Source organism: Homo sapiens, chromosome 16 (assembly GCF_000001405.40).
Source record: "Homo sapiens chromosome 16, GRCh38.p14 Primary Assembly".
Taxonomy (NCBI): Eukaryota; Metazoa; Chordata; class Mammalia; order Primates; family Hominidae; genus Homo; species Homo sapiens.
In genome coordinates, this window is record NC_000016.10 from 83,334,683 (window position 1) to 83,360,641 (window position 25,959).

The 25,959-nt window shown below is 41.5% G+C and overlaps 1 protein-coding gene across 6 annotated transcripts in view, besides 1 other annotated feature; it reads left to right on the forward strand.

The window, feature by feature from the left end:
• CDH13 (cadherin 13) overlaps positions 1-25,959 on the forward strand; it is a 1,173,672-nt gene that overhangs the window by 707,714 nt on the left and 439,999 nt on the right. For all 6 annotated transcript variants that reach the window (NM_001220488.2, NM_001257.5, NM_001220489.2 and 3 more), the window contains one exon: positions 10,180-10,324. In NM_001220488.2, the coding sequence (NP_001207417.1) occupies positions 10,180-10,324 (145 nt within the window). The remainder of the gene's footprint in view (positions 1-10,179; positions 10,325-25,959) is intronic.
• Positions 9,342-10,541: an enhancer, noted in NCBI's record as "P300/CBP strongly-dependent group 1 enhancer chr16:83377629-83378828 (GRCh37/hg19 assembly coordinates)". NCBI's record gives its function as "activates an origin of replication core promoter dependent on BRD2, BRD4, P300/CBP, MED14 and CDK7 cofactors, with strong dependence on P300/CBP, by STARR-seq in HCT116 cells {active_cell/tissue: HCT116}" and the evidence as "EXISTENCE:reporter gene assay evidence [ECO:0000049][PMID:35650434]".

Below are 25,959 nucleotides of genomic sequence, written 5' to 3' on the forward strand. Positions count from 1 at the left end.
TGTTTTAAAGCCAGCTGATCAGCAACCTTAATTCCATTGGCAACCTTAATTTGGGAGGTGGAGAGAGTATGAGAATTGTAGACCGAAACTTCATGAAAAGATTTATCAGTATGTCTTTGTTTAAGGCACTAAATTTTAGAAAGGATATGTAGATAGAGTACTCTTACCCACACATCGTGATGATCTAATTGGACCATGAGTATATTTTCATCTAAATCTGCCTACCAAGCCTGTACATATATTGATAATATATTCATATGTAAGGACTCAGGTGTAAAAAGTAAGGGCAATGTAAGTGTCACATTAATAAACTGGGTTAGGATTAATGTTATCATTTCCTGTCTTATCACAACAAACATTGTATCCATGGTGGAAAATATCACTTAAAAAATCTTCCAATCACACTCTACCTTGCAAGATTATCTGTTATAAATAAACAATATAGTATACTGACACAAAAATCTTTGTGGGCTTATTTCCATGGAATCTCTGCAGAATTTTGTTTTAAGCTTTGAACATCTCTGTGGTTCTTGAGACATACTTTCAGACTGCCTTCCAGGAAGATTGTATCAAGTTGAGATTCCACTACGGTGATCCTTGTGTTTGTGTCACTGTACCCTTAACAATTACCGGCTCTTAACTTTTCTTTATCTGGGGGCAAATGCTGGCATGTTATTTTTCATGTGCATTTCAAGGTTTTGTGTGAGTCAAACACACACACACACAGTTCCTTTGTCTGAACTTACAGTCATGTTTAGCTGGAGAGATGGCAGTGTTAAGACTTGTACATCCCTGCTTACATGTAGTGAGCTTCTGATGATCATTTTATGTTTCTTGCCCTAAGGGAGGAGACCATCCCTCATATTGTCTTATGCCCAATTTCTGCCTCCAAAGAAGGAAAAAGTAAAAACTAAAAGGCAGAAATGAAATCCGCAAGCAGACGGCCCAGCGCCACACCCTGGGCCTTGTAGTTAAAGATTGACCCCTGACCTAATCCGTTATGTTATCTATAGGTTACAGAAATTGTATAGAAAAGCACTGTGAAAATCCCTATCCTGTTTTGTTCCGATCTAATTACCGGTGCATGCAGACCCCAGTCACGTACCCCCTGCTTGCTCAATCGATCACGACCCTCTCACGTGCACCCCCTTAGAGTTGTGAGCCCTTAAAAGGGACAGGAATTGCTCACTTGGGGGGCTTGGCTCTTGAGACAGGAATCTTGCCGATGCCCCCGGCTGAATAAACCCCTTCCTTCTTTAACTCGGTGTCTGAGGACTTTTGTCTGCGGCTTGTCCTGTTACAGCCCTACAGCTATATTCTATTACTAGATATTTGGGGCCAGGCATGGTAGCTCACACCTGTAATCTCAGCACTTTGGGTGCCTGAGGTGGGTGGATCACCTGAGGTCAGGAGTTCGAGACCCGCCTGACCAATATGGTGAAACCCCGTCTCTGCTAAAAATACAAAAATTTGCCAGGGGTAGTGGTACATATCTGTAATCGCAGCTACTCAGGAGGCTGAGACAGGAGAATCGCTTGAACCTGGGAGGCAGAGATTGCAGTGAACCAAGATCACGCCACTGTACTCCAGCATGGGTGACAGAGCAAGACTCCATCTCAAAAAAAAAAAAAAAAAAGAAATTTGGAATGAAAGCAATGAGATTCCTTCTTGTTTGTGACTTATAGACGGGTTCCAATAGAAGTTTCTGAAGAGGTATTCCAGAGATAACGGCAGTGGCAGCATCTACGCTAAAAAACATTTTAGTGCCCCAGAGAGGTAATTCGGAGGGAAAATACTTATTCAGGTGAGAGATATCTTATCTGTCTGCAAAATAGAAACGGAGTCACATTGTGTTAGAGATGTAACTACTGTGTGCTTTGATTCTGTGTGATTTGAAAACTTACATCTGAAAATCCTGTGCACACACAATCCATTGATCGAATGTTGAACTATATCATCTCAAAAAAGCTCTGTGTGTGTCTGTGTTTTGCTTTATTTGCATATTTTGCCCAAAGAAGAATCATCAGAGTTAAAGAGGTCATCAAACTGTTTTCTAAATCATTTCTCTTCGGAATGACTCACAAGTCCATGGACTGTGTGTCATGCTTTGTTTCTGATTCTGTTGATCTAGATTTTGCATGTGTTGCTTGGGTCATCTCATATTACAAAAAATATTGGCTTTTAAGAGCCAGCTTCTGCATTTTGGCCTTCACCCAAGAAACCTTGTAACACATTTTGTTTTTCATCAGTACATCCCTTTGGGTAAGATCTCAGTGTCAAATTTTGTCGGACTAAATTGTGTCTTTCATGGCTGAAGATGAGAGGATGACTCAAATGAAGGGCAAGCTGTTAATAGTTCGCCATGAAGCTGAAGGCCACGCAGGCTTTGTAATTTGGTTCATTATGTTCTTGCATTTTTAAGGGATTCTTTTCAAAGCATTTTACGTACAGCCAATTCCTATTAGTGTGGTGAATTAATTGGCTTGAAGAATCATTGTTTTGCGTACTGTGACTTGATGGTTCACATTTCTACTGGATACCTGCTCACCCAACCCCCCACAGTATGGAAAGAGAGTAGAGGAACCCAGGTGCTGGGATGCCAGGAAGGGTGGACAACAGGGCCCTAAACTCAAGGCTGAAACTGCTCTCCAACTTAGCTTCCCTTCTGGCTCCTGTGGTTTTTCTTTAGCTCCTTCTCCATTTCAGGAGTTGAGCCCCTTTTTTCCTCCCATTCTCAGGACTCAGAAGATCAGGGCTAACAACCTAGTGCCCATCTACCATGCCCCCTTGAAGTACAGAAAATATTCAGGCGGTATCTTAGTGTCTCCACCTTTGGATAAAGTATTTTTGCTTTAAACAAATTAGAGGTGATTTGCATCCTCTGTCTCCCTCACCATATTATTCACTGTTGTCATTTGAGAATTAAATTGACAAGCGTATTTTTTTTTTTTTTTTTTTTTTTTTTTTTGCTTTTCAGAAAGTGTGTAGTGTCATGGAAGGAACTATGTGGTAGCTAGGCTGATACTATAATATTTCGCAGCCTTTAGTTTGTGGCAGGATGCTACATAATATACAGACGCTCATTGTGTGGTTTAATGTGTAGCTTCATGTGTATTAATAAAAATATATAAGAAACTCATTAAGCTCCTCAATTCATGGATGATTTTGCCACAAATGAGGCAAGAGTAAAAAGTAGCAATCAATGTAAAGCAAAGCTACTAAGTAAATAGCTTAGTAAAGATAATGAAACAAAAAAAATGTAAGGGAGTCCATGCAAAAACATTCAGCAAGTGTGAGCACAGTGAGGGGAATGTGAGTGTTACAGTCGGACCTAAGTTTGAGTTCAGGCTGATGACAAATCAGCTTTGACACCATGGACCAGGTCCTTAAATTTCTTTGCTGCGATGAGTATTTGTTCAGATTGTTTTAAGCCAAATGAGACAGTGCAAAAAAAGGCCAGACCTGTATGGGACACCAAATCAATGTTAGTCCTCTTCTTTTTAAAAAAAAAAAAAAAAAAACAAGTAATCAGTTTAATGTACTCTGATATTGTTTACCACTGGGATTCTTCTTCATCATTTAAGGCTACAGAGTCCACCAGCCTAGAGTCCATGGAGTCAGACCAACTGTCAGCTGTAATATGCCGGAGATGGAGAGAAAGGACAGATGGCCAGAGCTCAGGCCAAAACTTTGGATTCCAGTCTCTTAAAGAGGCATAGCCTCTTCCAAAGAGGGCTCTCTGCAGTCAATATCATATCAGCTACCTGTTTGGCACCAGGCATTGGGTCCAGGCTTCAGGATTTGCTAATAAACTCCCGTCCTCATGTGGCCAGACAGAGAGGTAGACGTAAATTGAATTATCACACCAATAGGTAATAACCCATGGGAAGTGTTACAAAGCAAGGAGGCTGACGCCATGGGAATGTAAGCCAGGGACACCCTAGCTGTTCTGGAGGAGTAAGGGAGGCTCTTCTTGATATTTGGGCCAAGATCTGAAGGATGAATAGCGGCAGCAAGGAAGCGTAGGTAGGAAACCCATGGTTGGTAGGAGGGTTGTATGTAAAAATACCTGCAAGAAAGGATGTGATGAGTTGGAAGAACTGAAAAAAGATGAGTGTAACTGGATAATAAGGAAGAAGAGGGATTCCTTGTAACATGAAATGAGTGTGAGGAAGTGGGCTGTGGCCAGATTACAGAAAGACTTGTCAAAGCAAAGGTATTTGCTGTTTTTCCTAAGAGTGATGAGAAACCATTGAAAGGTATCCAATAGAGGGTGACATAAATCAATAAACATTGACAAAGACACCCTGGAAGCCCTATAGAAAACAGATGGTGGCAGGCAGTCATGGCTGTGCAGGAAGACCCACAGGGCGCCTTGCACAGTAGCCCTGGTGAGAAGTGACAGAAGCTAATCTCAAGGAGTGTTGAGGGGGATGGAGAGAAAAGGGGACATTCAGGAAGTGAAACAATGGATGTGGGCAGGATATGTTGATAGAGTGGCTGCGGATAGAAGAGAAGGTTTCATTTGAGGAAGAGAATGACTCATGAGTTTCTCCTTCCTTGATCCCTGAGAGAGGAGCCATCCTCTAGACAATATTTAGAGCAAAATGATAAACATGCAACTGTATTTATCATACTTTCTGGTTGCTCAAAAATCCTTGCCTCCAATGATGTCAATAATATTTTAATTAAGTTATTATAAATGTAAAATAGTTTTGCCCTCTCTAGGAAAGGATAAAGCTGGGCCCCTAAAAACTGGGGAGTAATATTTGACTTCAGACTCAGTACCAGCTTTGTATCAGACACTTTCATGTGTTATTTTAGTTAATCTGCACCAAGATCCTGCAAAGTCACCATGGTGGGCTCTTATTAATAACACAAAAACCAGGATACGGAGAGGTGCATGCTCTGCTCAGGGCCCGGATCTGGTGTGTCAGCAGGATTCAGTATCAGGTCTCCTGAATCCAGGTCCAGTGCTCTTTCCACAGCTCCTTAAAGCCCTCCAGTCAGCCTTTCACAGATGTCCCCCACCTCCAGCAATTCTCCCCTCCACCTCTCCCACCAGTGCAGGTGGCATCTGGATCTCCCTCCCATGATCAGCCAAGCTTTCCACCGTGTGAGCAGGAAACCACTAGCACTAGAATCTCTCAAAGTGCTGGTTTAAACATAAATTCCTAAAGAATCTGATTTTACCCACTTCCCTGGATGATCCATAGGCCCACTGTGATAAAGCTGAATGAGTTACTCCTCCCTGGGATATTTCATCTCAATGGAGGAAAATAATTCTGTTGGGGTCCAAAAATCACACCAAGGCTAAGGCAATACAGGGCCCCCCAACACTCATCACCATTCTCTGTGACCTTTCCCATCTCTGGGACCTCTCCATTATACTTTGTTTTCTGCAATGTTTCACTTTTCAATTAATAACCAATTTCCTTCTACTTTTGTATTTGACAGCTTCTCAAAAAGTGATCAGACAAAATATGATTTTTAAGCATTCAGCATGCACAGTTGAAGATTAGAAGGACATTGGAAAAAATTGATGTTTATGGGAAATGTATGTGTATATTTGTATGTGTGTGCTATGTCTGTGGTACATGTACATATGTCTGCCTACATCTGAGTGTGTGTGTGTGTGTGTGTGTATGTGCGCATGTGCGTGCTGCTCCAGATAGACCTACAAACATCTGTCTTCCTGGCCTGTGTACTTGGGAGTGGTGAATGAGTCCAACAGCCACACAGTGAAATTCCTAGCAGGTGGCAAGACTCAGCCTCCTGTTTGGAGCTTATTTTATTTTCCTATAGCTGAACCTGGGAATACAGTTCCCAAATTCCACAAGACCCTTGGATTTCCATCTCCAACCCCTGTGTCTCAGTACAACATCACTCAAACAGTAATGTGCACCCGAATTCTCTAGAAACAATGTTAAAATGGGTTTCCTCTGTAGGATCTAGACAGGACCGAGGAGCCTGCATTTCTAACCAGCTCCTGGGGGATGCCAATGCTGCTGGCTTGGAGACTGACCTTTGAATAGCAAGGTACTAGAACACACAGCACAGACATTGGTCAGATGTGTAATTGCTCGGAGTTCAGGCTACCTACTATGGAATTAGTTATTAAAATCCTGCAACATTGGATAACTGTTTCTAGCTGTCATTTGTTGAGTGCCCCTCTCATCTGCCTCCACAGTGGACTTTTTTTTTAATATCACACCTTGTTATTCCCATGCAGGTCAACCATTGAATCTAAGAATAGAAATCCTCATGTCTGAAGGGGTGGTCTTGAAGTAGGCAATGAGGGCCTGGGTGGTTTCCATTTCCTTTGAGCAAGTATTTCATTGCCTTCTGCCATGCCTACCTATTTGTTTTTCTCACAGTAGGTTTCTACCAAGTGGCATCTCACTTCTAACATAAAGAACAAGCATCAGAATGCCTCCCTTTGAATGCATATGAGGTTGTTTTGTTTTTAGAACCCAAACACAGCCACTTGAATCTATCATGTAATTCAAAGGAAACAAGCATTATTCCAGTCTTTTCAAACTAAGGTTTTGTGTGCTTTGGGTATTTCAATTAGGAAGAAAGAAGGCAGGCAAGAACGTTATTGAACATTTATTCTCTGATACTGGAGGATGCGCTGGAATTCAAGAGCCTGACTTCAGAAAGTTTGGCATTTGCTAACTGTGGGTCTGACCTTCGTATGAGAACAGTGATGAAAACTCACGGGAATGTCAGATTTTGTTACGGTATGTGATTGGGTGGATAAGGCTGTATTTACTAACAACTTCCTCATGCATATGCATGTGCTTAATTTTCATCCACATCATTAATAAGATGATTTTAAAACTGGATGAACCTCTGCATAAAACACAAACATTTCCTATTATATATTTTATTCAGTCTACTATGTTTTCCTCTGTGGGGATCAAGCATGATATACTTCTTTCTCATCTCTGCCTTCCCAGGGACTCATAGGAAGAAAATGTCTTCATTCTTCACTTGGTTTAGATTGTTCTACGCAAAAACTCTTGTATGGACATAAGCCTTAACTTACTCCATTCGGAGTTGAGCAGAGTCCTAATTCTTTGACTTGATCTTATACCATTCCCCACTCCTAAATTAGTTCCAATTAGTTCCAAGTTCATCCTTACCTCAGAGTCTGCTATTGCTATTCCTGCGGTCTAGAAATCATTTTCCATGTGTTTTGTATGGCTATCTCTTTCCACTTTCTTGTCATTCAAGCCTCAGCTGAAACATTCCCTCAGCAATAAGGTTTTCTCCACCATTTATTTTGAATAGGTGTCCCCTGCCACACACACACACACACACACACACACACACACACACACACACTTTGTCAATCATACTCTACCCAGTGATGGAAATGTTCTACATCTGTGTTGTCTAATATGGTAACTACTACCTGCATGTGGCTACTGAGCACTCAAAACGTTCCTAGTTTGACTGGAGTACTGAGTTTTTTCATTTTAATAAATGTAAATTGCAATAGCCATATGTGGCTAGCAGCTACAGTATTGGGTAGTGAAGCTTTCGTATTCAAACCTGTCTCATATCCTTCATAGCCCTCATCTGTGACTGAAATTATCTTGTTCATATCTTTTTCTCTTGTTTATCACCTGTCTTTCCATGCTGGGTTATCTTTTCTGCTAACCACTGGATACCAGGGTGTTCAGCGTGATGGCTGACATGTAGTGAGTCCTCAAATAATTTTTATTAAATTAACTTTAAGAAAATCCCACTTAACAGCCCTTCACTGTTTTTAGAGACCATTCCAAAGGTCTTGACTTGTGTTGATATTATTGTCCTCTGAAAAGTCTGAGTCAAACTCTGATTAGTTTTGTAACATAAAATACCATTGGATTGTCTGTTTGCATAATTGGTTTTCTGAGATTCAGCTCCACATTCTGTATTCATCCTAATCAATGGTGTCTCCTTAGTTTCTGTCTTTCTTTCCATTGTGTTAAGATGGATCTGTTGTCTGCCCTTCCCAGTTTCAGCATATTTGAATATTTGGCAAATGTGAATTCTGATTACCTATCCTACTTGTAGCTTATGATACTGGCCAAGTCTTATAGAATGTAGAATCTTAGGATTCAGATCCAAGATATTTGTTATCTTTAGGCACAGTGTTTTTTTGTTTCTGTTTTTTTTTTTTTTTTTTTTTTTTGGTTGAGTTAAAGTCAAGTCCTTGGCTATTTTGGGAAGATGAAAAACCAGACCTATGTTATTACATAAAATTGCCTCAGAGCTTTATTTTGATTGATTTCCTTTGTTAGCAGTATTCTCATAATAGCTTAAAAAAAACATAAAAGTATAAAATTTCACTCTCTGTGAGATCTCCTTTGTGTGCAGATATTACGAGGCTCTGTTCACTTCATTTTTTCTTATTACATGCATTATTTTATCTGCACCAGAAATCAAGTATGTATGTCTGTGTGTGAATTTGCTGGTAAAAGGATGAAGTAATGTTAAAGAAAAAAATTTAAAAATTATCTACCCACACATACCTGGTTTCATTTTGCTCACTGCCTTCAAATTCTATCCATATTTGTAGGTCATGTATGATGATGCTCATGTTATTTTGTGTATTTTTACTCAATATTCTAAGTAGATCAATAAAGTTTAAAAATTATTGTATTGTAATATGTTGTTACACAAACATTCCTTCAACTAGTTCCCTTCCACTGGATGTTCAGGCAGATGCCAGTGTAATTTTATTTTGAGAAATAACAATGCAGTGAATAGTTCCAAATATGTAGTGCAAACTTATATAGGATCAGGAGTGGTATAAAAACGGAACAAAAGTATGAGTCTTTCGTGGTTTCTGTTGAATTTTGCCATGCTTTTGAAAAGGATTATACTGGTTTACAATACCATCAGGTGGAATGTGACTCTACTGATTTATAACAAGAATGTTTGTCTTTCATTTTTCTAATTTGGGCTCTTTTTTGACAATAGTATTGATAATAACTGTAGCAACAATAGCAGCAGTTAATATTCTTGAGACATATTATATGATAGACCATATTTAAATGCTTTAGAAATATTGTTTATAGTGGTTAAAAAAGTGAGCTCTGGAGGCAGACTTCCCAAGGTCAAATCTGGACTCCACCATTTATCTTCTCTTTGCTTTCATTCTCTCCTCTGTAAAAAGATCCAAAGGGTTGTTATGACAATCAAGTGAGATAATATAGTATAGAGCTAAAGTAAGCACTGGATAAGTGTTTGTTATTATTCCTAATAATGAGTGTTTTTGTTAACCCCACTTACAGATGAGAAAACTGAGATCCAGTGTCTTGCTCAAGGTCACACAGATAGGAAAGAGTTGTACTAGGATTCCAAATGCAGATGCCCTTTTCTGATCAAAATACTCCTATGCGGGGACCAACACTTATATCCAAGAGGAAGTATTACTCTTATCGCTGAGTTAAATCAAGGTTGAATTACGCACAGAAAATGTGCGCATAAGGTCCCCGTGATTCACTGGAAATGCCATGACATAATTCTTCGTTTCCAAGACAAACAAAAAAGTTGTTTTTTTATGCTGCCTTCTTCATTGAGATCTGAAAGTAGTTCCCTATGGAAGTGATTCATGGTGTTGTGAAATCCTCCGAAATTGTAAACAGCCTGGTGGGCAGGAATCCCGAGGTCTCATTCAGGCCCCCTGCAAATTCTGAGTTCCTAGCCTGAGGAAAGCCCCCAACAAATACTGACCTGACTTTCTCCTAAAAGATTGCCATAAACACTTTTGGTTATCTCTTAATGTACTTGGTTCATAACTGCTTAGTCAATTATTTTTATTAGCATAACATTCCTTTTAAGCATAATGATATTGGGAAAACAGAAATGATACAAGCGTAATTTCTTGGCTATGACTGTTTATGTTTTGAGTTTTTTTGTTTTGTTTTAACTTTCTTTGCCGATTTGATGAATTAATTGTAAATTTCCCAAGGGGGATCTAAAGTGAACTGATCTTTGCCTTTTATTCTGGAATGTTCAATTTCTATTCTAGTCCCAGTGACTATCCTCTGAGACCAAAATTTCAATATTGCCAAGGGCTCATAAAATTGTCGATATAACCTACTTTCTCTAGAGAACCTTATTTGAATTTTCATAATGAATTAATATCTTCTTTCTCCCCCAATCTCTTTGCTCAAATAGCTATTTGTGGAGACCACTGATGTCAATGGCAAAACTCTCGAGGGGCCGGTGCCTCTGGAAGTCATTGTGATTGATCAGAATGACAACCGACCGATCTTTCGGGAAGGCCCCTACATCGGCCACGTCATGGAAGGGTCACCCACAGGTATGTCACATTGGCTTACCTTTAGCGTAATGGCTTGGAAAGAGGCACACTTTGATCTTTGTGGATTCTAGGGACTGTCTTATGGCTGTTCCAACTTGTCAGCTCGTATCAGCGTCGACTTAATACTTCCCTGCGTAGAAGCCAGGTTGGAAAGCTAAAGTGCAAAGCTTGACCGAGGTGTTGCAAGCTACGGAAATCTCTTTCATTGTCTCTGAAGATCATCCTCCAAGGATGACTGCCATCTAAGTCTCTAAGGCATGGCCGATGTTGGGCACCATGTAAATATCCAGCTTACCTTTGTGAAAGTCCAAGGCTAAACTTTGTGCTATAGCAGGGCTTTGATGAGAATTGGGTCCCCATTACAAACTCCTCAGTTCTTTCTTTTCACAGTGGCCTTTTAATAAGAACTATTTTAGTAAAATAGGTAGGACTTCTTCCCTTCCCTTAGAAGATGTGCATGAAGAAATCTTTTGTCTTCAGTCAGAGGACCAAAAGGAGGATGTTTGATATCTCTCTCTGGAAATGCGTAAATGCATGTGCCTACTGTTATAGAAGTCACTCAAGGTTACTATAGAGCTCCCGCTGTCTTTTCCCATGTTTAACCTTTCTATCAGGGACGGTTTTAGAATTTAGAGCTTCCTTTTTTGCCCCAATACATACAAATTAAAGTATCCCACAGCCAGCAGCTGAAGTCACTCCTAAGTATAATGCTTGAGAAAATGAAAGAATAAAACAGAAAAATTCCTCTTCGGCTCACTTTGATTTTCAGCTTTAAAATACACTTGAGTGAAAAAAAACACCATATTAAGAGTATCATATTAAGAGTATCATGATACTCCTAGATTATGCCCAAATAGGTAAAATAGTGATTCGTCAGACCAGACAGGAGATGAGAGCGGCTTTTACTATTTTTCCCCCTTTTCTGAATTGATGGGATCTATCAGTGACATGTAGATACATGAGGCTCTGGAAATGTTGCCATGGTAACCTTCCCAGACAACCAGGTGGATAATTGTATGCAAGATGCCTAAAACCTCCCGTCAGCTTCAAGGAGCTGGGTCTTTATGCACTGCATCAGATCCCCCAAGGGCAAGAGCGACCCTCTTCCTTCCCAGCTTTAAATGCGCTCCGTAAAAATGAAAGCAAATGCACTGCGTGTGTGCTGGAGGGTGTTTAGGGGAGTGTTGGAGGCAGATGGCAGAGGAGCAATGACAGGTCTGGAGAGAAGGAGAGAGGGCAGGTGAAGGGAGGTCAGGTCACTTCAGGGCAGACAATCCACGTGGCCCCTCTCTGTGAGCTGCTTTTGATGGAAAGATGGCTTCTGGTGAGAAACACCCTAGAATTTCGGTTTGATGTTTACAGAAATCTTCTTAAACGAGCTGATGTGCAGAACACATTTGGAGAACCAATGAGGAAAGCGATTAAAGAGGCCAAAGTTTGAGCAGAACAGAAAAATGATTCCCAATTGCTATCTGTGGTACTCGGGCCCCATGAGTGAGTGACTAGAATTCAGATGGGCTGGGAAAGTGTTCTAAATGTAAATGACAGTGCTTACATTCGGGATGGCTGTGAGCTTGCACATGTCTTTGTATATTATGTGTGTATATGATTAGACGGTGTCCAATTTTCCTCCCACTGTGCCTGTCCTTAAAGTTTAGAAAAGAATTTCAGATACATGTAATATTTTTTGATACATGTATATACATGTAATATTTTTTGAAGAAAGAGTTCTTTTTGCACATTGAATTCTTTATGCACATGTTATTTTGTGTATTTTTTATGTATGTTTTTTGTGTATTTTTTAGATAGAGTTCTTTATGCACATTGAATTTCTTAAATCACAGAGTTATTCAGTTAGAGACAGTTCTCCAGCAAAACATAAACCACCTCAAATATCTATTTATGATTGGTATTATCCTATAAAAATACATAAAGACTCAGGTGTCTGTATGGATTCATTGTTTTCTTTCTCAGCACCCTCTGGGTTGGACTATAAAGCACGCAGTGAAATAGAATCAGTCAGATTTGGGATCCAGAATGTGGAAATGTTGCAAAAGACTTTCAAACAAAAAGCCACTTAGATTACTTAGCACCCTGTAAGAGAGTTGCAGGCAAGATGGCCCCCGAAGCATTCATGAGGCCAGTGGGAATCTGATGAAGAAGACGGTATCCTCTTTCCAACCTCTTCTTCAACTTAAATCGTTTACAAGTAATAACAAACCCTAACTGGCTATAAAAATGATCGTCTCTTGTATTTCCATTATGCTCTGCTCATCTGTGGCTCATAGGATCCCATGTGTTGTAGAAATTATTCGACACCCACTGGGAGTAAGGGTGGGGGTAGGGGTGGGGTTTGGGTGGGGGTAGGGGTTGGGGTTGGGGGCTGACTCTGGAAAGAGTTCCATGATTTTCCATGCTCTCACAAATAAAAGATGGGAGTCAGTGCATAACCTGCCTTCAAATCATATGCTCTTTCACCTGTCCCGCTGAATTCATGGTGAACACAGCCATCAGGTATCATAGCACTGCGTCGAGTACTTACTGTGTGCCAGCAGCCATATATGTACAACATCATTTCATCCATGATCCCACTTCCTGCCCTGAGAGGTGGCTACCACTATCCCTATCTTACAGATGAGAAAACTGAACATCAAAGAGGCTCAGGAACTTGACAAAGTTACCTGGCTGGGGAAAAGGCACAATCAGTGTCTACGTCTCCAGCTTCAAAATTTGGTGAATGGTTGATTACTTAGCTGGTAAGAGGCTGCCACATCTGCCTTAATTCTCTGCAAATTCTGGCCACATCTGCACTGGCATCATGCTCAAAAGACTAGTCCGGGTCTGTCTACAATAGCCCGCATTTCTTCCTGGGCCTTGTGTGAGCTACAAGAAACCCAAGAACCAGCTGGGTGGAGTGGCTCAAGCCTGTAATCCCAGTACTTTGGGAGGCTGAGGTGTGTGGATCTTGAGGTCAGGAGTTGGAGACCAGCCTGGACAATGTGGTGAAACCCCATTGCTACGAAAAAAACAAAAATTAGCCGGGTGCGGTGGTGGGTGCCTGTAATCCCAGCTAGTCGGGAGGCTGAGGCAGGAGAATTGCTTGAACCCAGGAGGCGGAAGTTGCAGTGAGCCAAGATCACGCCACTGCACTCCAGCCTGGGCGACAGAGAAAGACTCCATCTAGGAAAAAAATGAAACCTAAGAGCCACGTGACCCACTGGGTCTGCTCTCTTGTTTCCATGTTTTACACCACAGACTCTTTGCAGGCCCAGCTGGGGGAAGTATTTGTGCAGTTCTATCAGATGAACTGATTTAGATCCTCACAGAAAATGACTAGTTCTTCGGATGAAATAGCCAGGCCCATTGAATCACCTCTAGGGTTCAACGGTGTTAAGTGTTGAGGCCTTTGTCACCACTCATGTCACTTTTTTCTGAGCCTACATAACCAAAGGCAGCTTCATGGGGCACAGCCTTTGTGGCCTCACACAGCCAAGGGAACAGAAGGGTCCCATGCTCAGAAGGGCCTGGGGCTTGGTTTAGCGTTCTGCTGTCACCATGTTGAAATTCTTAATAATTGTTGAACAAGGTGTCTGCATTTTCATTTTACACTGAGCGTCACAAATTATGTGGCTGTTCCTGCTCACAGCATTGTAGCCTAGAGCTGTGTTTGACGCTGTGCTCAGCTATTTAACACGGTGTGATATTGGGCAAGTTACTGAACCTTCTAGGACCCTCTGCAAATGGGGATAGAATATAACAGTAGCTACCTTAGAGAAGTATATGTGAGGATTCAGTGAGACAACATGCTTCACCCAGTGCTTAGGGAACAGTAAATGTACAATGAATGCCTTTGTATTGTTAACAGTGCAATTATTATTTTTATTCTGGAAGAGTACCCTTTAGCAAAGGTAAAGCAAAGAGACACATGAGTTGTGTGAAGACAAATTCATCTTCCAGCAAACCACGCGTCATTTTCATGTCCCCATGTGTTCGAATGCCCTCGGCACCAATCTATCACAAAGGAAGGTCACCCATATTTATCTGTATGTGCAGACAGGAGACCATTCCGGCTGCTCAGCACTGAACTCCGGGGTATTGTTTTGGTGAATCATTCCTGGATGAAGGAAGATCAGCAGAACATAATGGTCTTTGACTTTGCAGATCGTGAGCTGTTGCTTTTGCAGAGCCACAGACATTGATTTATGAGGCCCAAGCCAAGGCTCTGGCTGCTCCTTGGGGGCATACAGATCTCTGTGTGAGTTTGGTGTTTTCTGATGGCCAAGACATGGTGTTCATGAGTAGGGGGTAGAGGGTGAGAACTCTTGAAATTCCTGGAGGGCACTAATTCCAAGGCCCCATCATGTCTTGTTGGCATCAATTCATGGGTGTTTTGCCCTCTGGTGGTTTCCTGGGCACCTTTGAGAATGGCTGACCATGAGGAATGGCATGTCAGGCTCCCACAGAAGCAGGCCCTGAGATGAAGATTGAGGCCTGCCTGTGGTTTGCTTGAGAGGTACAGGGACAGATACCAGGTAAGGTGAGGTACAGAAAAGGAAGTCAGACAACTTGAGGTGCATTATTATTATTATTATTATTATTATTATCACTATTGAGACGGAGTTTTGCTCTTGTTGCCCAGGCTGGAGTGCAATAGTATGATCTCAGCTCACTGCAACCTGTGCCTCCTGCATTCAAGCAATTCTCCTGCCTCAGCCTCCCGAGTAGCTGGGATTACAGACACCTGCCACCACGCCCAGCTAATTTTTGTATTTTTAGTAGAGATGGGGTTTCACCACATTGGCCAGGCTGGTCTTGAACTCCTGACCTCAGGTTATCCGCCCACCTTGGCCTCCCAAATGCTGGGATTACAGGTGTGAGTCACTGCACCTGGCCCTTGAGGTGCATTATTAAAGCAGCTCCCAGAGTGGGTAACTGCAGCTTTATCCTTTTTGGGGAGCTCAAGGAAATGACATTAAACACATACGTTAGAGTTATCTCAGCTAAGGGGCAGGTAGCTAGAATATCTACTCCCCCAAGTCTGATAATGAGACATAGGTTCAAAGCTGTCCCCAAGGATGGGGGGCTTTAATTTCCAGGCACTTGCCGCCAGCTGTGCGCAAGGGAAACCTGGGATCCATCAGCTCCAATATCCTGTCCTCTTGAGGCCTCGGCCTTCCAACAACATCAGGAGCTGGCTGTAGGTTGTGTTCGCTCTCCTGGCTTTTAGCCACCCCAAATGGCAGCCAGGGCAGCTGGGAGAATGGCAGCCCCCCACCCTGGACGGGTGGGGCAGCTTTGAGAAAGATAGGTGGTGAGAGGTCACAGAAGGAAAGAATTAGCTCCCAAACTGCATGACTGACAAAGATGAATGTGGCATTTACCTAAAGGTGCACGTTCTGTGTCCTGAAAGATGCACATTGCTTAGGCATGTCTGATCCTTCTTCTTGAGGCTGTTGAAGACAAGCAGAGATTAGCAGTTACGTCCTCATTGTCTAACTTCTGAAAGCCCAGCCACTTTCCCTCCCTCTCTTTCCTGTCTTAGTCCCTTTAATTTTTTTTTCCATCCAGTATGCTTAGCAAGCATCTACTCTGTGCTGGCGCTATTCTAAGCTCTGAATGTGCAACACTGGACCTGGCAGGTGCTGCTTGTTCCCTCCTGGTATTCATAGCTGAGGAGGGAGGATAGCATCCAATAAATCAGAAAGAAAATTGCGGCAAGTGCTACAACATAGTTGTATGGGAGGCTCATCTCGGGAGGGGCCAAACCTAGTCTTGTAGTGAGATAGGAGGCCGCTCTGAAGAGATGATGTAGGGAGTTTTTGTCTTTTATTTTTCCTCCAGGATCCACCTGAGTTCCTTTTCAAGACACAGTTCCTTTAATTTTTAAACACATCCAGCCATTCCAGACATAAGAAAAAGCCAGCCGATCAAGTCGCCTTTGGGACTAATGGCTATCCTGAGAGCTCAGCTTTGCTTGGAAGTTGCTATTTTCCAAAACAGCTTGAGCTAAATAAAGATGGCTGGGATAGTTGATAGTTGATATTTGACACCTAGCTCAGCCGATGGTGTTCAGGTTGTTGCTATGGCCTGGTAGTAAAGTCCCTTTTCTGGTTACTTTTTACTTGTTGCAGTAACTGTGATGTGGCTTTTCAACCCATTGACTGTTAATTTTTTTTTGCTGATATTTTCAGACTTTCATGCTGTAGGTTCCTCCATTCTCAACTGCCCCAACCAATCCTATGTGTTTCTGGAATATCAGGCATGTGGCTATTTCTTTTTTTTTTTTTTTTCCTTAGGTAGATATATTTTTTAAAAAATAAATAAAGCAATTCTGTTCTTTTCAAGTGAAAGAAAATGCAGTCACTCTCCAGTGCCACCATCCAGAGATAACCACAGTTGACATTTTAGTGAGTGCAGTTCTGGGGTTCTCTCCTGGCATCTCTACACAGAGAGATGCAGGTGCACAGTTTTACAGAATGGGAGCTCTATGTGCTTTTCCGTAAATCTCTCTCTTCACTCCTCAGGGTCCTATGGACATTTTTGTAAATCAATAAACATCAAGCAACATCATTGTTTCAAACAGCTAGAGTCTGGATCTACCATCGTCTCCTTAACCAATTTCCTATCGATTTAAGTTGTTTTCACTTTTCTACACTTCCATCAATTCTGCAGAAGAGAGCTCATCTCTTCCCATGTTTGTGACAATTTCTATAGGATATATTTACATGAGCTGGATTAATGGGATGGCGGATATGCCCTGTTATGTTTTGATCCCTATTCAGGTGATGCTTCTAATCAGAGGATTTTAGTCTGTATCTTGGCTAAGCTTGTTCATGCAGCAGGATACAATAGTCTTTCTTTTCACACACAAACATACTGATGGATATTTTTGTTTGTTTCTCCAGATGACACTCAGTATCTACAAGTTTTTGTGGTCATTTCACTAGCTGTTTTGTAGATAGTGGATGGCCTTGCTATGGAATCCTTGCTGGATATTGTGGTGGAGGCAGAGGAATGCAGTGGTTGAGACTGGCCCCTTTCCTTAGGTCATCACTGGAATTTTAGTGAAGAAGTGCTGCCCAGGGATGGCATCATTAACATGCTGCAGAGCCCTTGAGCTTGGAGGAGACAGCACTTGAGTTATGGTACAATTCACTGTAAATGTGTTTTATGGTCGCCTAAAATGTGTTTAGGTGACCATAAAACACGTTTTATGAAAGAGTTGCATAATCCAATCAGAGACCATTTCCCAAAAGGAAAATTCACAGCTAAATGGAATGAAAAGTATTATCTGAACTTCACTAGCTATTGACTCCACCTAGTCGTTCAAGAGGAAAGCGAATGCTTATACATTGTTAGTGGAAATGTAAACAAATACAACTGTATGGAAAGGAGGATGGATAGTTCTCAAAAAACTTAGAATAGAACTACCATTTAATCCAGCAATCCTGCTACTACTGGGCGTCTACACAAAGGAAAAGAAGCCACTGTATCAAAAAAACACCTGCACTCATGGTTATCACTACGTATATTCATCACCACACCATACATACATACACACACACAATGGAATACTATTCAGCCATATAAAAGTATAAAATCAGCCGGGTGCGGTGGCTCACGCCTATAATCCCAGCACTTAGGGAGGGTGAGGCAGGTGGATCACGAGGTCAGGAGATCGAGACCATCCTGGCTAACACGGTGAAACCCCGTCTCTACTAAAAATACAAAAAATTAGCCAGGTGCTGTGGCAGGCACCTGTAGTCCCAGCTACTCAAGATGCTGAGGTGGGAGAATGGCATGAACCCGGGAGGCGGAGTGTACAGTGAACCGAGATCGTGACACTGCACTCCAGCCTGGGCGATAGAGCGAGACTCCGTCTCAAAAAAATAAATAAATAAATAAAGTATAAAATCATGGCTTTGGCAACAATGTGGATGCCATTATCTTTGGTGAAATAACTCAGAAAGTCAAATACTGCATGCTCTCACTTATAAGTCAGAGCTAAATCATGTGTACACATGGACATAGAGTGTGGAATAATAGACTTTGGAGACTCAGAAGGGTGGAAGCGTGGCAAGGGTGTAACGTGTGAGAAATTGCTTAATGAGTACAATATATGTTACTCAGGTGATAGTTACACTAAAAGCCAAGACGTCAGCACTCTGCCACATGTCCGTGTAACGAAACTGCACTTGTACTGTTAAATCTATACAAATAAAAAAGAAACTGAATCTTTGCCAAGTTGCTCCTAACTATGTCTGAAGGTCCTCTGGTGATATCTCACACCGGCTCAGAACCAAGACAGTCGGCTCCCTTGTCATAGCCATTGGGATTTCCCTCCTCCATATCCCAGGCCCCCACCCTGATGGGCACCATTGCACATGTCAGGCCCGCCCTGATGGGCACCATTGCACATGTTAGGACCCTTGGCTGCTGGCTCATGGGAGCTGGATACCAAAGCATCTGCTGGGACAGGAGAGAATGCCTGAACCCCTTTATTCTGGTAGAAGAGTATCTAACCAACCAACAGAACTGTATGTTTCTTCTTTAATGTGAATAACTGTGAAAACAACTCTTTTCATTTTTATTTATAGCTCTCTCTCCCCCTAAATTCACACATGCATCTCTGGGGCTGGAGATCAGCTCAAGAGATGGACACCCCATTGTTTCCTGAAACACTCTCCTCTCTAACCATGAAGTCTTATTCCTGGACTAGCCTATGTATCTGCCTCTCCTCTGCCCATCACCCATGCTCATATCATTCACATTAGACCTTTGTATTCTGGGTGAACTGGGGAGATGTGGCCCTTGGGTTCACTTTGATTACTTCCTTGTAAAAATAAACGCTTAATAGCCCTGCCCACTAATTTTTTGGATATGATATTTTAGGCCCAAGCCGGGAGTCATCCTTCCATCACTCTATATTTGGAAGAGGGAAGGATTTGTGGCATCAAATATTTAAAAATAAAAGTAAAAATATTAAAATTAATTGAGTAACTTAATTAAAATAATAGTTTAAAGTGGCAGCAGGGCAAAGGAGCATTTGTAGCTTCAGAAATGTAGTGATCATTCTACAGTCTTTTGAAAAGATAAACCTGACAGGAATTTCTAGCGAAAATGAAAATTGGTGACGGTTGAGCAGCTGCAAAGCAAAAGTGAAAAAGTCCTTGAGTTGTCCTAGCACAGAACGTGCTCACCAGCGCCGTTGGATCCTATCCCTGATACCAAAGGATCCACTGTGAATAGCCCAGCAATTTTTAGCACTGCAGCTGAGTAAAACAGAGTGGCAGATCCAAATGTCATTAAACATTTATAATTTCGGGGAAACCCTTATTTCAAATCAATTCTTCATAACCATTTCCTCAGTAAATTCATTCAACAAGTATTTATCGGGCAGTTTCTATGAGTCAGATAATATTATAGGGGCTGGGGATATAGCAGTGACCAAGACCATTTAGAACTCTATTCTTAAGACATTGCCACCTTCCTGGGAGGAGAAAGGTGCCAACAGAAATGGATAAGCCAGATAATTTAAGTTTCGGATAAAATAAAACAAGGTACATTGTTTTATTGACATAAGGTCAAGAAAAGTCCTCTCTAAAGAGGTGATGTTGAAGCTGAGCCCAGTGAAATAAAGGAGCCTACCAAGTAAAGGCATGGAGAAAGGATGTTCCAGACGCAGGGGCCAGGAAGTGCAGAGACCTGAGGCAGGAATGACCTGAGGGACGGTAGTACCAGGTGAGACAGGGAGATGGGCAAGGGCAAGGGCAAGATCGTTCTGAGCATGAGTCAACAAACTATGGGCCATGGGCCAAATGTGTCTCTCTGCCTGTTGTTTTTTAAATAAAGTTTTATTAGAATACACATGTGCCCCTTCATTCATGTATTGACTATGGCTGCTTTCGCACCATATTGGTAGAATTGGGTAGCGGGGACACAGACTGTATATTCCACAGAGGCAAAAGTATGTAATACCTGATCCTCTGCAAATAAAAAGTTTGCAGACCCCTGGCTTAGAACTCCATACATTTTGATTACATTTTAAACTTAGTAGGAAGCCCTTGGGTGGTTTTAAGCGAGGAAATAGATATGATTTTACTGCTGAAAAATGACTTGTGCTATTCTGTGGAGAGAGAAATAGGGAAACAAGGCATTTCAATGTTCTAGGCATGAGAAAACCATGGCAGCTACGGAGATGGAGAGAAGAGATCACATAAAATTTTTACAGCAAGTGTGTGACAAATCGGAAAATTCTAAATATTGAGTCATTTTATGATGCCAGCTTATTATAACTGATGCCATCTATGTGGAATTACAATAATACTGTAAGCCTTAATAGGTTTATAAATTTTCTGCAAGTATAAACCAGAATCTACCTTCAGTTCTCTTTCTCAGCAACACAGTTAAGACCAGGAGAACTGAATGGTTTTCTCTTCATCCTTCAACTTCCAACATTTAGCAGAGTCCCAGGCACAAATTATCCACCCAATAAATTCCACTGGATGAACAAATGGCTCCAAAGGCCAGAAAGCCTGAATCCCGATAAACTGTTTTTTAATTCAATTTTTAAATAAATGGTTGTATTTATTGAAAATGTATTCATTCTTTCAACAAATACCTTTAGAGTACCTGCCGTATACCAGGTATGCTGTTTAATGAGGATGGGGTTGGAGGGGGTGAATGCATGAAACAGAATGGATGCTGACTCTGTAGAGCTTGCAGACGAAAGAGGAAGTCAGTAAATAAAGCATCACTGTTACACAGGGGAACGTCAGTTTTCAACTGCTACACAGGGGAGCATCTCTCTAGGATTAAGGGAGGGAGATGATGCCTGTCCCAGGGTAACACAGCAGTGGTAATCAGCTGTATATTTTTCTAGCACTATTATGTACTGGATACTGGTCCAGGTTCCACACCTACCTTTTAAAGCAGTCCTTACAAACGTTTGACAATTGAGGAAACAGACACTCAGGGAGGTTAGGTGACTCCGCCGTGGTCACACAGCTGGTGGGTGATGAAGCTCAGATCGAAACTCAGACCTGTATGACTCTAATTCTTGTGCTTTTTCATTTCATCCCCATCCACAACACCCACTGTCCTTTAACTATTTCACCCGTGATGATGTTGCAAGTAATTCCAAAGTTGCTACCTTAAATGTAAGAGAGCATTTTCTTACACAGATGAGTGAGTTTATTTATTTTCATGTGTGTGTGTGTGTGTGTGTGTGTGTGTGTGTGTGTGTGTGTGTGTGTGTGTAGATGAGAAAGAGAAAGAGAAAACCACCAACCTTCCTTAGTCATTTTATAGTAGCCCAGCTTGCCAGGTAACTCCACGCAGCCCATCCTTACTGGTGGTAACCTCAAATAAAGCCAGATTCTCCCCCTAGCGGTAGTTTGAGAGATGCTCAACAACTCGAAGATTCATAAAGCATGCTGAGCCATCCATCAGTCAAGACAGGCCACAAATGTCAGAAAAGATTGATAATCAGCAGGGAGCTTGATAAAGCAGCTTTTACTGCAGCACCCTTGCTCTAAGACTCCCATCCCTTCTGAGAACGCAGTCTAGAGCTGCTGCTTCCATTTATCTATACAAATACCTTTGAATCACTTCACCTTAATATATATATACAGTAAGATTTTTTTAAAGCCCTGAATAATTTATGTATAGAATCACCTCCCTTCTTAACCAAATGGAAGAGATTCAGTATGCTAAGTTCAATGGGAAGAGGGTATATAAAATCCCTTTCAAGTATATGTCTTATAAAATATAGGTCATGAATTGAGTTTTTCAGTATCAAAGAAAAAAAGTTTAATAGACTTACAGCTTTCTTGCTTTAATTATGGGTGCATTTTTTAAAAACCAAGTATAGTACCCAAGCTATTTTATTATTCAGAAGACTGGCTCTTTTCAAAGAAGTGTCAAAAGTTTGGTTTGGGGAATTCTTGTGTTTTCTTTCTTGCTCCAGTTTTCCACTTTTCTTTAGTGTGTCACCATCTTTATCTCCTATGATACTAGTTTATAAAAGGCTTCTAACATGGATGCCTTCCTCTTGGAAGTGGGTTGGGGTTCGTGTTTCTATAGTCAAGCTCTGTATCCTTAAAAAAAGGCCTGCTTTTCAGAATGATGGAGGACCTCGCTGGCCTGTTTCCCTGGCCCATCACATCCAGACTCCAGAGCTGCTTTGCCATCTGTTCCTCTCCTTCCTTCTCATTTCTGCAATTTTACCCTCTATCTAGCTGAAGAGGTTCTATGCTTGTTGGCTCACACTAAAGTCATAAGCCAGGGCTAGAGGGGATGACTTGAATAGTAACATGTGTGTACATATACGTGTGTATGTGTCTGTACATTCACATACACACACATGAAATCAGCTTCGGTCTGTGATGCACCATTCAAAAATGTCTGCGTAGATTTTCACTAGCTTTGGAAACCACGTTTGATGTGGTTTAACTGGAAATATTGACCCACGCAACTAAAACTCAGGTAACCCAAGAGACTACTACTGCTGGCAGAGTCGTGTTTGCTGATTTCAGACACCATGGAGCAGTGGTCCAAGTTTGAATGATTTTGTTCCCAGGAGACACTTTGGGTTCCACACTGGGGAAGAAGAGGGTACAACTGGCATCGAGCGGGCCAAGGTCAAGGACTGGTAAACATACGTCAATGCATAGAACGGCCTCCACAGCAAAGAATCATTTGCCTCAAAATGTCAGTAGTGCCAATGTTTCTCCCTAAATGGAGAAAATGTGGAGTTTTAGTTATAAAGCCCAAATGTAAAGTTGGCAGGAGAGATGCTACAAATTGTAGGCATTGGTTGGTACCTTTTTATAGTGAGCCACAGGAACCCATTCCTCTAAGCAGGATCAATGGACATGGAGCTCGTTTTAACAGTGAGCATTTTGCGAGTGGGAGATGTTGCCAGGCCCTCTGCTGAGGGCTTCCTGTGTGTTATCTCATTGACTTGCCACAGCAGGCTAGAGGCGGATGCTATGATCATCTCTATGTCCCAGTGAGGAAACTGAAACTTCAAGAAGCTAGAAAACAAACTGTCCAGCAGAGCAGAAGCATTTTCCTCAAAATCCATTCTGCTGTCCTTTAGTAACAGACCTCAGTATACCTTAGCAGCAGGTGTCCGTATGAAGACTGTATTGCTCAGCCTCCCTGGCAGCTAAATGTGGTGATGTGAGGAAGTACTGACCAACAAGCTAGAAGCAGGGGTCTATGTTAGACTTCTAGGATGGATTCTGAAAGGAGCCACCTCACCTAGGAAGAGTACCCTGTATTCTCCTCCTACCACCTATTTCTTTTGCTGTCTGGAGTAGCGATATGATGGCTAGAACTCAAGCAGCCACCTTGCTCTGTGACACGGCCTCAAGGGTAGAAAATATGTGCTAGGAAGGCAGGACAAAACACAGAATAAGACCTGATTCTGTTGCCTGCGGAATGCCATGGCAGCCCTGGATTGCTTCTCTCCAGAATTATTTTACATAAGAGAATTATGAACTTCTGTCTTATGTAACTCAGTGTTATGTTGAATTCCCTGTATTTGTAGCCAAATCTAATAACAGCTGAAATATGCAGCATCACTCAACCAGTAAAAATTAGAGCCCAGACTATATGACGTTGAGTCAAGCCACGCTTTTTAACCACTGTGCTTTGCTGCTTGAGACATAAGCCCACTTACACCTCTGTATGCCTTTCATGCACCAGTTTTCCTATGGTAATCAGAAAATTGAGTCTTTATTGGAACAAAAATGGTCTTTGTCTCCTCTGTTATCTTAGAGTTCCTTCCAGAAAGCATTCTAAGGCCTCTTTGACATTAGACATTTTTATTAGGTTAAAAAAAACCCCACTGCCTTATGATGGGAACTTTCTTAGTGTAGTTATTTTGATTTCCTAGTATTACTGTAATTTCAGATCACAGTCTAGTACTAATAATCTGAAGAGATTCCAATAATGCACACCATGATGGGGCTGCCATTTATGTCAGTGTGCTGGCTTCGTGTCCACATTCCAGGGGCCAGAGAGGAAAACTTTAAAGGGCTCTAGAAGGTTTTCAGAGAATATTAATTTTTTTCTTGCCAGTGAATCAAGTTGAAGTGCATCATGAGAAAGTACCTGTGAGTTCATCAGGGAGATCAATGTATTCTGACAAGGGTACAGCACAAGGGTTGAGATGGCTGATTCCCATCTCCAAAAGATCTGGTTTTCAGCTATGTTTCCACTGTGATTATGAGACCTTAAACATGTTATCTTACCTCTCTGGGCTTTGAGTAACTCTTTTGATCATGAGGCTAATAACAATGCCCCAAAAGGATGGCTGTGAAGGTTCTGTGAGCAAGTAGATATCAGGCTTTGAGCACCATGACCAACAAAATGCCACGTGGGTCACAAATACTGGCAGCCAGCAATGGCTTCTTTTCAGTGGTGCTAGTTCAGGAGGGTCTTAGTGTCGTCACCCAGCAGCTTGCAGGAGTTGGAAAGACTCTAGAGACCCATGGAGCTGAATTCTAGTCCTGGCTCCTTCTCTTATCAGCTGTGTTAATTTGAGCCTCTATTTCCTCTACTGAATTGGTGATAATCTTCTGTGGCAGCACTTTGTACGAGTTTGAATTGGGCACATTCGAAATGATTCATTATAGAAATATAAATAAAATTTTATTTGTGCACAGAATTAGAAACAGTGTGCTCTCCAAATTTTAAATATTTGTCACAAATTTGCAATTTCAGAGTGGTTGTCAGGATTCTCTCTCTCACTCTTTCTCAGTTTTAATGAGATATCATTCATATACCATACAATTTACCAATTCATCCATACAAAATTTGTCATTCGGTGGTTTTTAATATATTCACAGAATTGTGCGATCATTGCCACAGTCAGTTTTGAACATTTCTATTATCCCAGAATGGAACCCTGTAGCCATTAGACGTCGTTCCTTATAGTCTTAGGACACCACACATATACTTTGTGTTTCTATAAATTTGCCTTGCTGGGCATTTCATAGAGAGAGAGTACATAGTACGTGATCCTTTCTGCCTGGTTTATTTTACTTAGCGTGTTGTTCAGGTTTCATCCATGTTCTGTGTAGCAGGTAACAGTACCTCCTTCAGTTCTATTGCCAAAGATAGGGCTTCCTTTTAAAATAAATTTGCTCTCGCCATAGGAAATATCGCTTTAGCTTGTGCAGATGAATATGCACCATTCTTCGTCAAGATTAGTCTTGAGTTATGCAAATTCTGAATTATCTGAGATATTCGACAATGTACCACGTACGGAAAATACATCTGTGTTCTGTGTACCTTGCAGTTTTGTTATGAGAATTAAATGAGATAATACACGTAGCAGCAGGGCTCAATATATGGGAGGGGGTTCCTCAAGAAATAGAGCCTTCTACAATTTTAGTTGGTTTGATTGTTTCATGGTAGATCTATTTTTTATCTGCTTTTTCTATAATCTCAACCTTTTTTTTTTTGGATTTGGGCATACACATGCAGGCTTATTGTATGGATATATTGTGTGATGCTGACGCTTTGAGTATGATTGAATCTGTCACCCAGGTAGCACCATAGTACCTAACAGTTAATTTTTCAACCCTTTCTCACCAGCACCCTCCGCTAGTCCCCAGCGTCTG